The 20,171-nt window shown below is 38.5% G+C and overlaps 1 protein-coding gene and 1 long non-coding RNA gene across 3 annotated transcripts in view; one reads left to right on the top strand and one right to left on the bottom strand.

Annotated features, from left to right (window-relative positions):
- The window catches only part of LOC107986523 (uncharacterized), a 48,119-nt gene extending 38,245 nt beyond the window's left edge, over positions 1 to 9,874 (top strand). The window contains exons 3-4 of the long non-coding RNA XR_007059722.1: positions 5,084 to 5,208; positions 6,532 to 9,874. This is a non-coding gene — a long non-coding RNA (uncharacterized LOC107986523). The remainder of the gene's footprint in view (positions 1 to 5,083; positions 5,209 to 6,531) is intronic.
- SLC35F1 (solute carrier family 35 member F1) overlaps positions 1 to 20,171 on the bottom strand; it is a 410,408-nt gene that overhangs the window by 176,610 nt on the left and 213,627 nt on the right. The window lies entirely within an intron of this gene.

Genomic DNA, 20,171 nt, shown 5'->3' with positions numbered 1-20,171 from the left:
CTGTACTAAATTTAGTTAAAATATTTTCCTTTCTTTAATAGTAAATTAACCTTAGCTTACTGTATCTTTCTTACCTTATAAACTTTTTTCATTTTTAAAAATGTTTTGACTCTTGTGATAACACTTAGCTCAAAACATAAACACATTGTACAGCTATAGAAAAATATTTTCTTTATATACTTATTCTATAAGCTTATTTCTACTTTTAACATTATTTATTTTGCTTTTTAAACTTTTTTGTTAAAACTAAAATGCAGCACACACATTAGCCTAGGCCTACAAAGGATCAAGGTCATCAATATCACTGTCTTCCCCTTCAACATCTTGTCCCACTGGAAGGTCTTTAGGGCAATAATACCCATGAAGCTGTCATCTCCTATGATAACAATGCCTTCTTCTGGGATATCTCCTGAAGGACCTGTTTGAGGCTGTTTTACAGTTAACTTTTATACAAAAAAAAAAATATAAGGAATACACTCTAAAAGATTAAAAGTATAGTATAGTAAATACATAAACCAATAACATGTTTACTATCAAGTATTATAATACGTAATTATATAGTACAAGTATTACTGTACATAATTGTATGTGCTATACTTTTGTACGACTGCCAGCATAGAAGTTTGTTTACACCACTATCACCAGAAATGTCTGAGTAATACATTGCGCTACTACACTATGAAGTCTACAACGTCTCTAGGTGATAAGACTTTCTTAGCTCCATTAAAATCTTATGGGACCACTGTTATATGTGCCGTCCATCATTGACTCTAATCATTATGAAGCCTATGACTATATGCTGTTACAGCAGCCTGAACCAAGACGCAACTTCCTTCATTTTATCCTATGTCAAAATTTGGGTAAATCCAAGTAATTTCAGATCTTTGACTCAATGCACCTTGCTCATCTGTCTCACCTAGTAAAGGCTGCTATAATGTTTCCAGACTCTTCACGGGCACACAGGACATCTGATGGGTATGTGACAAAATACCAAATAAGAGAACATTAAGATTTTGTCTTTCAAATAAAAGAAATGGGAATGGCTTCATCCATTTTTTTAAAGTTCCACTAAAGGGAAAATGAAGTAAAACTTCAATAGCTGAAAAATAAACACTATAACTCGAAAAATTTTTTGTGCTAAAGTATATTTTCTAGCTCCCTACCTCCTCCCCACCACCATCCCCAGGTTTTTACAGCCATTTAATGCTCCTTTGATATAACAGCAGCAATAATGCTGCCTGATGGTGAACAATGCTAAGGATAACAGCTTCGGCAGACTGGTAAACCAAGAGCACACTGGCTTCACTTTCTACTTGTGCATGCTTCAGCTACAAGTAATTTGGGAGCAAGAAAACACAGGGAAAAGACACTTGCTATCCCCACCATGTTTCTGGAATAACAGAAATAGCCATGGGAGATTTCTGCCATATTAATCTGATTCATGGCCACCAACAACCCAAAAGATAGACTGACTTTTTATGGCCTTCCTGGAAAGTCAGTCATCTCCTGGAAAGTCAGCATCCTTCCAATGGCACTTACATAGTACCCAAGACAGATTGTATCCCAGTTCTGCATGTCTACTCCATAACAGAAAAGCCATTTCCAGATGATTTAGTATTTTGAACTATCCATAAAGAAGACAGTTTTAAAGGCTGGGCGCGGTGGCTCACGCCTGTAATCCCAGCACTTTGAGAGGCCGAGACGGGTGGATCACGAGGTCAGGAGATCGAGACCATCCTGGCTAACACGGTGAAACCCCATCTCTACTAAAAATACAAAAAATTAGCCGGGCATGGTGGCAGGCGCCTGTAGTCCCAGCTACTCGGGAGGCTGAGGCAAGAGAATGGCGTGAACCCGGGAGATGGAGCTTGCAGTGAGCTGAGATCACACCACTGCGCTCCAGCCTGGGCACTAGAGCGAGACTCCGTCTCAAAAAACAAAAAAAAAGAAGACAGTTTTAAACTCCATCCTTGGTTCCCTTGACGCCCTAAAGTTTTCGTCATGACTGTGAAAGTGATTTGAACAGAATCTGAATATCATTTATTTTCCTTGATTGATCCATTTGAGTGTGTGTGTGTGTGTGTGTGTGTTTCTGCTGAAAAACAAGGGAGGGGCTAAAAAATATCCTCTATGGAAGTATAAGTGAACTGATATGATGCACCTATCTCACCGGTGCACGCGTTGCCAAAGAGACTAAATTCAAATGAGTTGTACGTGACATGCATAATAATGAGCACACATTATTTTCCCCCTTAGTGCTCCTGAAGACCAGGTTGTTTATGCATGAAATGGATTATTTTGGATATAATACTGCAGGGTCAAATAACTCCACTGCATCTTTAAAAAAAAAAGCAAATAAAATAAATCAAGGTGCACCATGTAAAATGATGTATGCATTCTGTTGAATTTAATTGAATTCTAATTAAACTATTTGGAGCAACATAAATTAGATTATTTTTCAAGCACACTTCAGATAAATCTAATGAAGTTCTCACAGTGAAAAAGGCAGAGTTGGCCTTGTTTAATGACTCGGTTGCTGATATAGTGCCTTGGAATGAATAAGAGATCAGCCTGACCTTGGGTCATTTCTTCCTTGAGAGAGATAGATAACATAGGTTAACTTCAGAAAGCTTGGCTAACAAGAGACTAGGTTTTAGTTTATGTTGATAGTAAAAAAACGTATTGAGGCATTTAGTTATGTGATTTTCCTCCTGTGGTTTTTTCCTCTAAGGTTTTTAATTTTTTTTTTTTTTTGAGGTGGGAGTCTTGCTATGATACAAGGCTGAAGTGCAGTGGTGTGATCATGGCTCACTGCAGCCTGGAACTCCTGAGCTCAAGTGATCCTCCACCTCAGCCTCTTGAGTAGGTGGGACTACAGGCATGCACTACCATGCCTGGCTAATTTTTTAACTTTTTGTAGAGACAGGATCTTGCTATGTCGCCCAGGCTGGTCTCGAACCTCCTGCCTCAGGTGATCCTCCTGCCTTGGCCTCCCAAAGTCCTGGGTATACACGTGTGAGCCACTGAGCCTGACCCTCCCCTAAGGTTGGAATATCCTGGCATCTGAATAGTTTCTATTAGGCAGGGAAACTGAGGGGGCTAAAGCAAATGCTCCCAGAAGTATCCCTTTTGTTTCTGGCATCCCATGGAGGGATTATGTTAGGGGTAAAGGCAGACATTACCTAGAGGAAGGACAGCACAGAACTATCAAGTTGGGGGAAGATTCCCCAAGACTATGGTAGGTTCTATAAATGATAGGGACCTAGATCCACCCCCTCATTCCACTTTGGGGAGGGGGAGGTTGCAGACCTGTAGGCAGAATGGGTTGTAGGCCATTTAGGAAAGGTGTATCCTAAGGACCAGGGCTTCCAGCCTGTGGAGATTCCTGTGTGCAAGGTTGGCTGGCATAAAACCAGCAAACCTTCTGGGTTCCAAAGGACAGTGCAGGTTTGGGAAATATGCATATGGGTGGTCCAGTGCACTTTGATAAGTTAAGACTCTGAGTCATCTCTATGGCCCTAGAATAATGGGTGGGAATGGAAGGACTGGGATGGGAGAGTTTGGGGTGAACTGGGAGTAGGAGGGGGGAACTCCTTTCCCAAATGGCCTAGAGAGAATTTCCTCTGAGTCCAGATCCAAGACAATTGGTGTCAGATTCAATTTGTCTTGTGAAAATCTGTGGAACAAAAGGTCACCATTTCTTCCACTCTTGGAAAAGTTTATTTCTATTTTGGTTCAGCTAAGAAGTCATTCATGAGTAAATTATCTTGCATCCTTAACAACTCCTCTTTTCCTATACTTGGGGAAATGCTTGGAATTTTATTATGGGCAAGGTTCTTAGTTCCTTTGGTTTGGAGTGGGGACAAGTATAGTTCAAGAGGATGTGGAAGGGGCAGAAAAGAAAGATTTATAAAGCTAAAAGACACTTAAATGATGTGATAAAAGATGAATGAGGAGTAGGTTATGGATCATGTGTAATAATATCTAGAAAAGCAGAGCTCTATTCACATGATGATTATTTATTTTTCTAGAACAACAACATATAAAATCAAAGGCGAGTGGGTTAGGAACCTGTGAAAGTTATCTAGCTATAAAGGAATGGATATTGCCTAATCTATATTCCAGTTCCATAGCTAATCCCAGGAAGGTGAGAAATGAGGCCCTTTGAAGAACAGAACATGATGGCTGCTGTGATACATATTTCATAAAATGTTTTCTTACAGAGTGTTCTCCTCTATGCATTCTCAATGCTATCTGAGATATATTAGTGAGAGAGATGAGAGGCACTAGTTTTCTCACTAACTCTCCTTTTCATGTTTGACACATAAACTTTTGGTTCCATTGACAATCCCAGAATACATCTGCAAGCACTCTGTCATTGATACTTATGGGAAAGTTTATTAAAAGTATATGCCTAGAAATAGAGAAAGACTGCTGAGCTGCTTTGGAAGACTTTAAGACCAAAAAAGGAGGGGCAGAAGGAGATGCGTTAATGAGGTAGAATCAAGTCTCCAGCCTCTACTAGTATTAAAATTCCTTCAAGATACAAATAACGTGACTCAACTATGATAAAATTGGAAACTAAAAGAAATAAAAAGACTTTTCCTACTAAGGCATACTTGTTAGCATAGAGACCAAAAAAATCTCAAATAGAAACAATGAAAAGACCTGAAGGTATTTTAAAATGAGCCTATGTGAAGTGTTTCAGCACTGTAGGGACAACTTTATGTCTCTATCTCTTCAAAGATGAGAGGTCTAGACATAAAACAGCATGCTCAATGAGTTAGCATAGATTACATGGAAGACAAGGGTAGAGAGACTTCTGAATTCTTCACAAATACTCCAATGTAAATGTAGATCATTGCTACATGAGGAAGGTTGCAAAAAATGCTGTACACCATGGCCAGTTAAAGGCAGGCAGTGGGGATGGGAGGAGGTACCACATGCTCACAGCAGGTATCATCAGAAGGGGCTGTGAGACTCTGTCTTTCATGGTGCTTGGTTGACTGCATCAAACCCTATAGTTAACATGATGGCAATAACTTAAGAGTTTGGGCTCTTACATGTCCCCATCTTCTCGCAGGCCCAGTGCATGGAGTGGTAACCCAGCTGTCTTTTATAGGACCTCTGGCAAAAGAGAATACCAGGCTGCTGGGCCTATGAGGGGGACCTGATGGAAGACACCAGCCCTCCAACTATGTAACACAGGTGGGTCAATACCTGGTGCTATTCTCTCTCTACAGAAATATCTGGAGGAGAACTGGTGAGGGAAATACATTGGAGAGAATGTGAATTTTGTACAGTATATTTAATTGTAGCGAGTGTCAGAAATCACCCAAATGTGCTGTTAAAGCTGTAACCTCCCTTCACTCTCTGGGCAGCAGAGGTCTTTAGAGTGTTTAGAAACCAGCAGGTGTTTAATCTGTGTATACAGAGACAGATGCTGAGATCCAACTGGACTGTGGAGTGAGTAGGAAGTTCAGCTGGCCTGCAGAGCAGCCAAGCCAAATGAAGGGCTGGGCAGGGTCCCATACAACAGTCAGCACAGATGGCTGGTACCCGGCATCTAAATGCTTCCAACAGGGGAGATTTCACCATGCTTCTAGCCTCTTCTTTATTTCACATGCATCTTTTTGTTAAACAACATAAACTGTGTTTCTGTTGTAGAAACATAATATAGAATCCAAGTAGCATGGAAGGTTCTTGAATGGTATTTTAGAGAGTATGTTATGATTGACTAAGAGTTTATAACCCAGAGAATGATTCTGAAGGACAGAATAATTATTAGCTTTTTGGTTTGTTAGCATGTTAACAAATAAGAGGCAAAATTGAAATTTGGATATTTTGAGTTTTAATGACCCTCTGGTGGACTTGTGTGTCCTGAGTGTACTTGTACACTAAAGATCGGATGTAAGGCAGTATTCTTTACAAAATGCCTAGCAGGATGCCTTATTTCAGAAGTATAGATCATAACAAAGAGGAGGATGTTTTACTCATAAGCCCATAGAAACGTGACGTCCTTGTTCTTGAATTCTGTTTGACCTTTTCCTCCATCTACTGATTTAGCCTTTGTATAACCCCTGTTAAGAAGCTTTCCAACTGCGTCCCTCACTTTGACAAAAAAGGAAGTAAACATTCAAACTTTAATTCTGGAAAGCTGAAACTTAGGAGGGGGAGTAGAAGGAAGGGGAGGAGGAGGCAGCAGGCCAGACCTTGATGTTCATTTCTGCTGCTTTGTGGAGGGAAGTGACTGCAGATCTCTAAAACGGCACAAGTCACTTCTGAGCCGCTAGCCAGGTGTGCATGTCTTGGAGGGCTTTTCTTTCAAGTACTGTAATTTTCTTGTCCCTGGCTCCATGCCCCTAAAAAGGCTTGCCTCAAAGGGTCATACTCAGGAAGCAAAGACAAACACAGAGTAGGCTTCATACGTGTTGCTGACCACATACAGTCACCTTGGTTTAGGTCTCTGCCGCAAGTTCACCTTTGGATTGCATTTATTAAACGCTTGCCTATTGCATGGTGTTATTCTAGGACTCAGCACTATTTACTGACCAGCCTTCATCAACCACCTGCTACTATGAGCAGCTCATTTGTGGACTAGCATATTTCTCCTGGCTCTTATGCCCCTGGAGTGCTGAATCAGAGCTGGAAGCAGCCAACATTTCTAATTCCCTGTTTCCAACTGGACTTGACAGATGATAAAGTAAGTGTTTCAAAGGCAGAGAGGAGAATTTCATAGTAAGCAATGAGATAAATGGACTATAAGATGCAGCCAAATTACTTTCCTCTCTGAAGCAAGATGTCTTGTCCAACAAGGCACTCTTCTCTCAGGCCTAGCAAACACCCACCAGAAGCAGTTCATCTTTAGACACAGTATCAAGGCCTTCCCTGCACAGGCAGTTTCTCCTTTTTCTGATGTGCTGTTTTCTGTTTCTCTTGCTGATATATCTTTATTAACTTCAGATTTCATAAGGATTCAAACTTTCAAAACTGAGTTGTGTTTCAATTTCTAGGGAAGAGATAGAAGGACACACACAAACATGTGGCATTTATATTCAGACTGTCCTGATGGTCTGAGAAAGCAAGGTAGCAAGCATGAGGAAGAAACAGGTGTTGACCAAGAAGGTTCTCAATGGAGAGATAGGCCAACGCTTCTAGGAAGCAGAGCACTGGATTGCTCCACACTGCCATACCATGGCAGGCACTGGGCCTCCTGAGAATGCCCACAGTTCCAGAGACTGTGACAAGGGAGGTCACGGCAGGTATGGTCACCTCTTGGAGTCAAGTCAACCATCAGTAAATTGAAGAACCCACTATTTTTATATTTTAAAAAGTCTATAAGCAGCAACAGCAACAAGAAGATGGTGTTCTGGATCTCTGCATTACTAGAAGGAAAAGAGAAAAAAATTCAAAACTATTTCTACTTGAGAGCTAAAAGCTGTTTCCTGTAAATTTAACTCCAAAATGAAAATCATGAGAAAATGTTCTTCTCTCTGGAAATTCTGCACACTGAAATATTTCTTTGCAGTGAAAATTGGCCTATTTTATTCTATCAATATGATTAACCTTTCTATAAACTTGTCCTAGGTGGAAATTCATTTTCTTTTCTAGCCAGAAATGTTGTCATTTATGTATCTAAAAACTAGTGTTAGTGGGAAGAAAGGACTTTTTTTTCCAGAACCTAAAAATAGTTGCGCCACTTAATTTTGAAAAAGCTTCTCAGTCAAGGCAAGTTTTCTGCTCCTTCATAGCCCTGGGATTACATGCATTTGCACCTGGGTTTCATTTTTAATTCTTTTCTTCCCTCTGTTTTTTCTTTGCTATCAGCCAATTTCTGTCCACAGAGCTCTGTGGACAAGATCCTCCCTGTGAACCCAGGGGCAGATCACAGATTACTGATTCTAGGAAAATATCCTTTCAAGTGTCATGCAGAAACCTCTTGTTCAGATACACCATATAACTCTTGAATCTGTTATTCCCAGAGAGTTAGAGCCTTTCCAGACACATCTCACATCAAGATGCGATATCCAGGGGAGCATATAGAGCCAGCTGTCAACCCTCTTCCTTCCTCCACTGGAAGGACTGCCTTTCCCATCTCCATGCCTTCCTCTAGAAGCAGCATGGGCTCCTGTGTGGTCTTGACCACTAAAAAAGTCCCGACAACCATGTTGATACGAAGGAGACAGCAGATATACCCCGCCCCTTCTGCATTTCAGTAAAATGAGTAGGGCAAGACTAAATAAAAGGAATGGCTGTAATAGTGGAACTTGGCAAATTAGTGGAGGATACAATTAAGAACAGAATCTTCCAGATACTGCTCAAATCATTCCCTATGGGAAAATATCTTGGAACATCTAAGAATATGTGCCACAAAATAAAAGGGAATAAAATGTCTCTACTGAATCATTCTTTACTGAGAGAAATAAGCTCTTATACAGTGACAATAACAATAATCATAGTTAACATTTATTAAGCATTTACTATGTGCCATGCACTCTAAAGGCTTTCCACGGATTAATCCTACAACCACCTCAGAAAGTAAATATTTTTATTATCTCCATTTTACAGATGAGGAAACTGAGGCACAGAGTGGTTTAGCAACTTGCCCAAGATCACATAGTCAGCAAGTGGCAAAAAAACGTAATCTGAACTCGGTCTAATTCCAGCACTTGAATTCTTGACAAGAAACCATGCAGCCACACACAGCCACAAATACACATACCACCTAAAGGCACACGAGTGTGCCAAACATGCATTGCACTGCTTTCCTCACATCACAACTTGTATTTTACTTCGTTTTCCCTTCATATATTTTGCCCTCACTAAGTCTCCATTGTTAGAATTTACATCACTCAGATCCAAAGGGCTATAAAGTGACATGAGATGGGGTAGGCTAGGGAAGGAGAAAGGAGATGCAATCCATTCTTAAAGACCTCTAACTATCTGCTTCGGTTTCTTGAAACAACAGCTTCTTAAGAGTAGGGCTTGTTCTTTGGATTATTTACTAAATCTGTATATCCATTTCTTGAGGTCCTTACAAAATAGTAGTAAAAAGAATGGATGATACACCTGACACTTGGGGAGTTTACAGGATTTTCTCAGCAAAAGACTTAAAAATATTATGTGGTATTACTTATTTCTAGAAAAACCTGTTTAAGAAAAAAAAGATCACTGATCTAAGCATAGAGACAAAATGATTCATCAGTAGGGTGATATATATTACTTATATTAATATATACTTATGTATTTGCACATGAATGTGTGCAAATAATATAATATAATTAGTATAATGGAGTAAATTCACCTATCTTTGAATGCCAGAACGCAAAATTTAAAGTTACTATATTAGCAAATGCAAACTTTCATCAATTATACTCATGAAAGTAGAAAAAGTGAGAGCACCTATGTTTAAATAGTGGGAGCAAAACTTATAACCTCCTGTATTGCTGATGGCAGTGCAAACTGAGAAGCAATAATATTCATATTCTTTGACATTCTCAGTAATCTCCTATCTGATAATTTACTAAAAGGAAGTAATCCAAAAGATGGGAAGCCAGACTTGCATCACAATTATTATTCATAATATAAAAATTGAAAATGACCTAAATGTTATTATAACTTAATGGCTCATTAAGTTATAGTGCATCAACTTGATTGAATGGTAGGCAGCAACTTCCTATCGTTGCCAAAAGATTGTGGAGTTATAAAAATGCTTAAAGTATAATGCTGAGCAAAAAACTCTTTAATAAAAATTGTTTCTGTGCTTTGACTACAACTGCATAATAGTATTTTATGAATGTTAACAGATTTTTTTTGTTTTATGCTTTCTATGTTACAACTTTGATGAATCAATAAAAAAATTCTTACGTTTGAATAGATCCTCCTCTCTTAAGTTAATCATGGAGTGACTTGAAATTGCAGGAAAAAATTTTTAAAAAACTCGTGTGTGTTTGGAGAAAGCATGCTTTTGGACTAGCTATATATGCTGACTATGCCCAACCTTCTACTTTAGCCAAACAGTGACAATTCATATTCGTGGTATGAGGGCAATACTTGCTACCTTGCCATGTCAGATATTTTATGAAGATTAATTAGAAGATTGTAAAGTATTCTGAAGTAATTGCATGAAAAATTTCTACTTATAGACAACATAAAATATTTATAAAATCTTTACATCATTTCTCCCTTCCTTATTGGCTTTAGTTCTGTTACTTTTATTTAAATGATTTATGGCCTCTGAGCACTTTATTGTAATCCAGCTCAAATCCTGTCTTACTGTAGGACAGTATAAAAAGGTACTAGAAATAGTAATAGTGCTTCATGCATACAAAGTAGTGGCAATTCTCTGAATACAAAATTGCAGATAAAATTGAAAAAAAAAACTACCTTAAGAGATAGGTGTTTCTGAATTTCTGAACATTTGGCATTGTGTAATGTGATTGGCCAAGTATTATGCCTTTGGTGAATTCTACCCAAAAAACTACTAGTAACTTTTCTTGAATTACAAATTCCTCAGAAAGACACTATATTTTTTTCAGTAAACCAGTTTTTTTGTTATTGTTGTTTGTTTGTTCGTTTGTTTTGTTTGTTTGAGATGGAGTCTTGCTCTGTCGCCCAGGCTAGAGTGCAGTGGTGCGATCTCCGCTCACTGCAAGCTTTGCCTCCCGAAGTAAACCAGTTTTTTTTACTTGCTTCTGTGGAAGAAACTATCTTCACTTTTGCAGATGAAGAAACTGAAGCACACGCCTCTTAAGAAGCGTATCTAGACTACTAACATTAATAGCTAAAATTTATTGAAATCATGCCATGTGACAGGCATTTACATAGCATTTTACAGGTACTAAGTCATCTCATCTTCACAACAACCCACTGATGAAGGTACTTCTACTAATTTCCATGTTACAGTTGTGGAAACAGTTCAAGAGAGGTTAATACTTTGCCCAAGGCTTCAAACTAGGAAGACAAATATCTCAAACTGCCCATAACATAATGCTAAACATGTTTTAGAATTGTAAAGCATTTTGAAAATATTATGTAGTTTAGAAGCCATAACCTAAAGGGATGGAGAGTTTGGGAGACTGACAGTTGATACATCTGAGACCACAGGCAACCTAGCAAAGAGAAAAATGAATGACACTTACCCAGTGTTCTCATAGCCAGTGAAGAAATTCCTAAAATATCATATGGCTTTTACAGCTACTATTTTCTGTCTCAGAAGGCACAGTATAGGATTCTATGTTTAAATGTATTATATGTAAATCATCTCTTAAATATGTAAAGGTTGTTCCTGTGGTGTCAATGACTTGGTATTCATATTTATCATCAAAAATTAAGGTAAGGACTTCCATTTCATATCCTTAATTTTCCCCTCTCTCTCACAGCCTAGGTCCAATCTATTTGCAGCAAGTCCTGTTGATTCAATTTCCATAACATCCCTCGAATCTACCCATTACGCCTACAGCAACCGCCAACACCCTCATCCCAGCCACCATCCCCTTTCTAGATCTAGATTCCTGTGACTGCACCTCGTCTCCTCACTCCCATCAGGGTCCCCCTTCAATCTGTTCTCTATTATGCAGCTAAAGGAATGTTCAGGAAATGCAAATCACCCCAAGTAACTCCTTGGCTTACAAGCCCTTGACACTGCAACTTCCTCCTCATTTTTTACTTATCTCCAGCCACTCTGGCTCTTGGACAGTGCTTTCTGCACCTGGATCTTTATGCCTGCTTCTTCGTATTCCCACTACCTGGAATGCTCACTCACCCCATTCTCTTCCTTAGAGAAGCCACTTCTCATCTCCCCACCTAAGACCCTATTATCATTATTCTCTACTATCGCTATTGCTTTCATTGATTTCCTCTAAGGCCCAATCTCAATCCATAATTACTTGATTGATTCATTTGCTTACTTATTTACCATGTGTTTTCTCAACTAGACACTTGGCTCCTTGAGGATGGGGCTCAGGCATCTCTTGTGCATTGCTTTATCTTGCCTTCCAAGCACCTTGCCTCTCACATAGGGGACACTCAATAAATATTCTATGAATGGATCAATAACAATCTAGTGAAATATTAGAAAGAGAGTAACAAATGTGTTGAGTAGATATTGCTTAGTCATGTATTTTCATGAAATAGCCAAAGTTAAAACACTGAGCTTCAAAGATAAAAACTTTAAAGTAGCCTAGTGCAGCACTCATTATATGGCAGGTTATTTTCTTTTCTTTTATTTATTTATTTATTTATTTTTATTATTATACTTTAAGTTTTTGGGTACATGTGCACAATGTGCAGGTTAGTTACATATGTATACATGTGCCATGCTGTTGTGCTGCACCCATTAAGTCGTCATTTAGCATTAGGAATATCTCCTAATGCTATCCCTCCCCCCTCCTCCCACCCCACAACAGTCCCTGGAGTGTGATGTTCCCCTTCCTGTGTCTATGTGTTCTCATTGTTCAATTCCCATCTATGAGTGAGAACATGCGGTGTTTGGTTTTTTGTCCTTGCGATAGTTTACTGAGAATAATGATTTCCAATTTCATCCATGTCCCTACAAAGGACATGAACTCATCATTTTTTATGGCTGCATAGTATTCCATGGTGTATATGTGTCACATTTTCTTAATCCAGTCTATCATTGTTGGACATTTGGGTTGGTTCCAAGTCTTTGCTATTGTGAATAGTGCCACAATAAACATACGTGTGCATGTGTCTTTATAGCAGCATGATTTATAGTCCTTTGGGTATATACCCAGTAATGGGATGGCTGGGTCAAATGGTATTTCTAGTTCTAGATCCCTGAGGAATCGCCACACTGATTTCCACAATGGTTGAACTAGTTTACAGTCCCACCAACAGTGTAAAAGTGTTCCTATTTCTCCACATCCTCTCCAGCACCTGTTGTTTCCTGACTTTTTAATGATTGCCATTCTAACTGGTGTGAGATGGTATCTCATTGTGGTTTTGATTTGCATTTCTCTGATGGCCAGTGATGATGAGCATTTTTTCATGTGTCTTTTGGCTGCATAAATGTCTTCTTTTGAGAAGTGTCTGTTCATATCCTTTGCCCACTTTTTGATGGGGTTGTTTGTTTTTTTCCTATAAATTTGTTTCAGTTCTTTGTAGATTCTGGATATTAGCCCTTTGTCCGATGAGTAGGTTGCAAAAATTTTCTCCCATTTTGTAGGTTGCCTGTTCACTCTGATGGTAGTTTCTTTTGCTGTGCAGAAGCTCTTTAGTTTAATTAGATCCCATTTGTCAATTTTGGCTTTTGTTGCCATTGCTTTTGGTGTTTTAAACATGAAGTCCTTGCCCATGCCTATGTCCTGAATGGTAATGCCTAGGTTTTCTTCTAGGGTTTTTATGGTTTTAGGTCTAACGTTTAAGTCTTTAATCCATCTTGAATTAATTTTTGTATAAGGTGTAAGGAAGGGATCCAGTTTCAGCTTTCTACATATGGCTAGCCAGTTTTCCCAGCACCATTTATTAAACAGGGAATCCTTTCCCCATTGCTTGTTTTTCTCAAGTTTGTCAAAGATCAGATAGGAATCCTCCCTGACTCATTTTATGAGGCCAGCATCATCCTGATACCAAAGCCGGGCAGAGACACAACCAAAAAAGAGAATTTTAGACCAATATCCTTGATGAACATTGATGCAAAAATCCTCAATAAAATACTGGCAAACCGAATCCAGCAGCACATCAAAAAGCTTATCCACCATGATTAAGTGGGCTTCATCCCTGGGATGCAAGGCTGTTTCAATATACACACATCAATTAATGTAATCCAGCTTATAAACAGAACCAAAGACAAAAACCACATGATTATCTCAATAGATGCAGAAAAGGCCTTTGACAAAATTCAACAACCCTTCATGCTAAAAACTCTCAATAAATTAGGTATTGATGGGACGTATCTCAAAATAATAAGAGCTATCTATGACAAACCCACAGCCAATATCATACTGAATGGGCAAAAACTGGAAGCATTCCCTTTGAAAACTGGCACAAGACAGGGATGCCCTCTCTCACCACTCCTATTCAACATAGTGTTGGAAGTTCTGGCCAGGGCAATTAGGCAGGAGAAGGAAATAAAGAGTATTCAATTAGGAAAGAGGAAGTCAAATTGTCCCTGTTTGCAGACGACATGATTGTATATCTAGAAAACCCCATTGTCTCAGCCCAAAATCTCCTTAAGCTGATAATCAACTTCAGCAAAGTCTCAGGATACAAAATCAATGTACAAAAATCACAGGCATTCTTATACACCAATAACAGACAAACAGAGAGCCAAATCATGAGTGAACTCCCATTCACAATTGCTTCAAAGAGAATAAAATACTTAGGAATCCAACTTACAAGGGACGTGAAGGACCTCTTCAAGGAGAACTACAAACCACTGCTCAAGGAAATAAAAGAGGATACAAACAAATGGAAGAACATTCCATGCTCATGAGTAGGAAGAATCAATATCGTGAAAATGGCCATATTGCCCAAGGTAATTTATAGATTCAATGCCATCCCCATCAAGCTACCAATGGCTTTCTTCACAGAATTGGAAAAAACTACTTTAAAGTTCATATGGAACCAAAAAAGAGCCCGCACCACCAAGTCAATCCTAAGCCAAAAGAACAAAGCCGGAGGCATCATGCTACCTGACTTCAAACTATACTACAAGCCTACAGTAAGCAAAACAGCATGGTACTGGTACCAAAACAGAGATATAGATAAATGGAACAGAACAGAGCCCTCAGAAATAACGCCGCATATCTACAACTATCTGATCTATGGCAGGTTATTTCCTAAACATTTGACATGAATTAATCCATCTAATCCTAACAAAAGCCTCTAAGGAGAGCACTGTTTGTATCTTTCCTTTATTGATGAGACACTAGGTCCAGGAAAGTCAGCAGTCTCTTGTTAGTGAGGGGAGTGCTGGGGCTGTCATCTTTGAAGGCTTAACCACTGACTATTCTGCTTCTCAAGGTAAATCTCTGAATGTATATGTTCTGAATTTATTTTTAAAAAATGTTCTAATCCAGTGTCACTTCCAACTCAGTTAGCATTTCCATGGCCAAACGCTAGCAAAAATGCCTATTGCCCTAGGAATAAAGCCAAACAAACTAAAAAAAAGAACAGCGATTATCCACGGGCAATAGCCCAAGAGCTGCTCCAGGCCACTGAAACCTGCTTGCCCTCCTCCATCCCTGAGCTGGCCAGTTGAGAGTGGATGGAATGGTATCAATGAGGTCACATATTAAATATGCCTTTTCTCCAACATCTCATCAAATCACAGATGTCATCTGGCTTGGCTTGCTACGTCTCTGGTGCATTGGCAAACTCCTCATCTTAGAAACATGTTAAGATAGAACCAGCTTGGGGGTCTAGTGATGAGGCTGCCCACCCACTGGGAATCTGGGAGTTCTCTTATTTTCTGAATGCTAACAGAAGGGAGAAACTCTGGAGAAACAAGGCTATGAGGTTTAACTTATACTACCCAAGGAAGCCAAAAATACTTAGTATATGCTCACAAATAAACAGGGCCAGTTAGAGCCTAGTTCTTGCTCGTCCCAAAACTTTATCAATGGCAAAATTTGCTCATTTTCACCTTTCAGAAAAATTCCAATAAATAACTACATATCACATGTCAACCTACGTCTATAGTAAGTATCTGATCCCCCCCCCCAAAATACCATAAATGAATAAAAACCAAGCGTTCACAATTTTGTCTATGTACTTGGCATCTTTTCCCAAACAATTGTGTGGTTAAAATAGCACAGAGGGAAAAGTGACACATCACTACTGTAACAATAGATTTTAGCTAGTATAGGAGTTTTGAATCAGTAGTCTGAAAGCAAAACCTGAATTCTTAATTCTGAAAATATCATTTTCTTCTTGTATTCTCTAAATAGATGGGTTCTTGACTTTTCTTTTGTATACACCCATGCCTGCAAGCACGGCATATTTTAAGACACATGAGTTTGTGCAAATAGTTTCTTATGCCATCAAGATTCTGGAATGTGAGAGTAAATATTAGAAGCTGAGCTGCAGGATATCCTTCCAGCATTTCTTTTGTCCATGGCTCCTGGGTGATTGAGTTTTGCATCATTATAATTTACTGTTCATTCATCTTGCCACCATCTATTTTGCACGTTGTGAAGAATATTGAGTGGTGGAAAGATATAGGTCAGAAGTCATAAAGAATGGCATTTAAAATTGTAACTTTAAGTCTTTTTTTATAGTTCAGGTTTTTAGCAATACTGTGAGAATATATGGAATTTCCTGAAGTGTTCCTGAGATGAAATTTGAGTATATGCACTTGAGTCCTACCCAAAAGGAGAAGAAAAAAATGTTTGTAAATCAGGATTTGCGACTCTCATCAGGTTTACAACCTTCAAATGGTCATGATAGGTCACCCTGGGACATTATCCAATGCAGGTCTTGTCAGCCTGGGCCGGCTCAGTAACAAAACAAGAGACTATGACCTCAGTCAGTAGGTCACAGTAGAGATCTTGGGTCCTCTTCTTGTTTCTAATGGGAGTATTTGTTGTTAATATTTTGTTTCTCTCCTTTCTAAACAGAGATTGGAATATAAAGGTTCCAATACATAGATGGGCTCTTGGGCTCCAAGACTGAAGAGCACAATTCAGAGAAAGAAAATTATTACCCTAGCACTTCCATGATTTTATCTTTTAAACCAAGTCAATCAGATTTAATGGTCTTTGCCTTTGAGCCTAAAGGGTAATTATAGACTAATTTAAGATCATGAGATTCTGAGAGTTTGCATGACCTAAAGGGACATATAGTCCAACATTTTCATTTTAGGGTTGAAAGAAATAAAATTCAGAGAAGTTACATGAATAATCCAAGGTCATAACTTGTCAGTGGCAAAGCTAATACTGGAGGTCAGATACCCTAATTCCTAGTTCAGATATCATCTCTCAGTCTCCCAGAGTTCTTCATCTTTGAGAAAACAGGAAATACCCTGAGACTATGAGTGTCTCAAGAGACAAATTCTCAAAAGAGAAAGGGCACCTTTCTTCAGGTCTGTGATTTGGGTGTCTGCTGAAGATGCATTTGTGGAAGCCAATTTGCTGTGTATAGGACTGACCATTTTACTGACTTTGCCACCTCCCAAAAGACAGTGGCAGGCTGAGCCAACATTGCTTACCCTGAGCTCACTAAACAGATTCCTAAAGGTCCTCCTACAAGAAGTTCTGTAGTTCACCTAAAAGCAAGTGCCTCTAGAATTACCATTTTGACTCAGAGTTTCCAGAAACTCTCACCAAGGGGACAAAAGTGGATATTCAGTTTAAGCAAGGTGTTCCAGAAAATGGTGTAATGTTTTGACAAGAGATAGGAGCTCATTGTGGGCTACAGGGTATCAATTCAGAAGTGTTTACCATTTTAAGACTAGAAATCTGTCATTCTTTTTAGGGAAGATCAAAGGTTGCAGAGATGCATCACATCCAAAATTGGCATTTTCCAAAGCGCTTGCATGTAGAACAGCAAAAGGCAAAGAAAGAAGTCACCTCTTTAAAGTGCACATAGGCAATTTCTTTTCTTGCCATTTATTAAATATTTTGTCGTTTGTGTAGAATCTATCTCCATGGTAACTCTGTAAAAAAAAAAAACTATCATTTGGCATTGAATTTCTAAGAGTGGCCTTTTAACATCTACCAAATGTATTACCTTGGATGATCAATTCTACTCAACAATAGTTAAGTACTGGAGTTAAAGCAAAGTATAAGCTTTGGGCTGAATTTGCCTGTTAATTTAGGCAAAAGTGAGACTGTTTTCCTTTAAATCTTCTGGGTGACTGCCTTCACCTTCCATTTTAATTGAACCTGGAGACATAGCCAGAGAAGTGTTTCTCCCAGGTTTTTATCTCTAGTTTATAGATGGGTATTTATTATACAACATAAATGGAACATAATACAAGGAACATAATACAAAAAAAAGGGCTTTTGAGAATAAATACTATTCAAACTACCAACTACTCAGCATCTCATAATTGAAAGTGAAAGCTGATCTTTCTTTTCCAGCTATTAGATGAGTTAGCTGCTGCCAGCTAGCTGTCTAATTTCTTCTCTCCTATAGCCATCTCTGTTTCTATTTAACTTCCTGCTTTTAGCCCATAGCCTTGGACTCCTACTAGTTGATAAATGTTCCAAAATTTTGAATACTCTTCCCTGTGCCTTATTCATCACTGGGCCTCTATTAGGTGTCGGGCATTTTATTTTAAAGCCAGCTCTTAATTATTTGGATGCCAATTAGCCAGGGTCTGGAATTAACCAGACTTTGCTTTTTCTCCTTTTCTTTGCGGCTGCCTGCCTTTTGGCCACAGCACAGCTTGTTAGTTCCTTCATGAGGGAATGAAGGGCAGAGTTGAGGTAGAGATAAAAGCCTAGGGACTCAAATAAGTCCATTTTGTTGTTTGTTGGAAGCTCTGGTTAAAAGTTTGGCAAGGTAGTATACTAAACGCGCACAATAAAAGTAAACTTTCTTTATCATGCACATCTCATTTTCCAAGCTTTTCCAGATTCCCATTGCTGGGGTTAAATTGGAAGTTGGCAGAATTGCACTTGGTACCTTATACTGTGGCAGGAAAAATAAAGTTTCTCTGACTTGGCAAAAGCTTGTTTAATGAGCAGCTTTGCTTGGTACTGAATTCTTTCATTTCAGCAAGCACAGGGCACTCAGCCACTGGAAATCAAGCCTACCACACTGTCACAGGTTCACCACAGCTGAGCTGCAGTGCTACCAGCTAACAATAGAGTCCACGTTTTTGTTGCATTTTCATGTTTTTTTTTTTTCTGAGTAGAACAAAAAAAGGAGAAAAAAATGAAGGAATTGGGAGTAAAAATATTCTTATATTGGACATACAAAAATGTCATGCTAAATTCTTCAATTATAATAAGTTAGCATATCATTATTTTGCATCAGTTGAGACACAAAATTATCAACAGCCCTTTAATTGCACTCTAAAAATAAAACTAGAGTTCATTTTTATCAGCTTCCTATTTTCTGAGAGTAATTTTAAATTAAAAAATATATAACTTTGAAATGGGGGGAAATCTCTCCCTCATAGGATTTCATGGCAACACTGACTTCTGAAAGACTAGGATAGTTATTCAAATGTAGGGAGTGTGAGCAGTTCATTCTGAAATCCCCAACTGAGCTGTCATTAAATCATCTAATAATTTGTATTTTATTGGTATATAAATACCTGATCACTGTATTTTCCCTCATGTCTCTCACAGTGTGTAGTTAATGTCTCTGAGAGTCTTCCTCTCAACTGAGCAAAAGACAAAAGAGAAAGAACTTGGGAGACCATACAAAAGATAAACTTAGTTGGAAAGAGCAATTTGATTCCCTTGAGTGGGGTGTTAAGCACCAGAATGCATTTCTAAGGGAATGGCAGGGATACCTTTGAAAGTAAACATTTACATTAAATGTGATTAAATGGGATTCTGCATGAGAGGTTGATTAGTTGAAATGATCCTTCAGGAAGTTCACTAAGGAGGTATTTGTACAGTGGAAAAGAATATTTCCAGATAGCACTGGGTTCACATCTTTGCTCTGCAATTTACTAGGGGCGTGACTCTGAGCAACACACATAATCTCCATGGACTTCAATTTTCTCAACTATAAAATGACAATTATAACTTTCAGTGGTTCTATGAAGATTAGATAGAGCTGTATAAAAAGCCCTTAAGGTGGTGTCTAGATTACAACGTGTTTTCAGAGGTTAATAGTTATTTTACTTAAAGTCCCTTCCAACTTTCTAAAAATAGAGTAGTACCACAGATTCTAACTTGTACCTAAATACCTTCTCTAAGCATGTAATAAAATAAGCAGTGAACATCGTCATGCTAATGCTTACCATGGTGAATTGGGGGATCAATACAAGAAACAGATGCTAAGTCTATTTCACCTATTCTTTCGCCTTTTGATAGCTCATAACTCTAAACCTCTTTTCATTGTTACAATTTTAATCTATTTTTAACTGGCACCCTATCTTCTTTGAAAAAGATTTGAGTTTACTTGAAATAAAAAAATATATATATTTCTGATAGGACTGCTAAAAACTTCAACTAAAAAGAGAGTTTAAAGGACAGAAGCAGGAAGAAAAAAAGATGATCATGCTGGGAATTAGATATAATCATTTA

This window comes from Homo sapiens, chromosome 6, assembly GCF_000001405.40.
Source record: "Homo sapiens chromosome 6, GRCh38.p14 Primary Assembly".
Lineage (NCBI taxonomy): Eukaryota > Metazoa > Chordata > Mammalia > Primates > Hominidae > Homo > Homo sapiens.
Note: the sequence above shows the minus strand (reverse complement) of the source record. Positions and strands in the feature narration are given on the sequence as shown.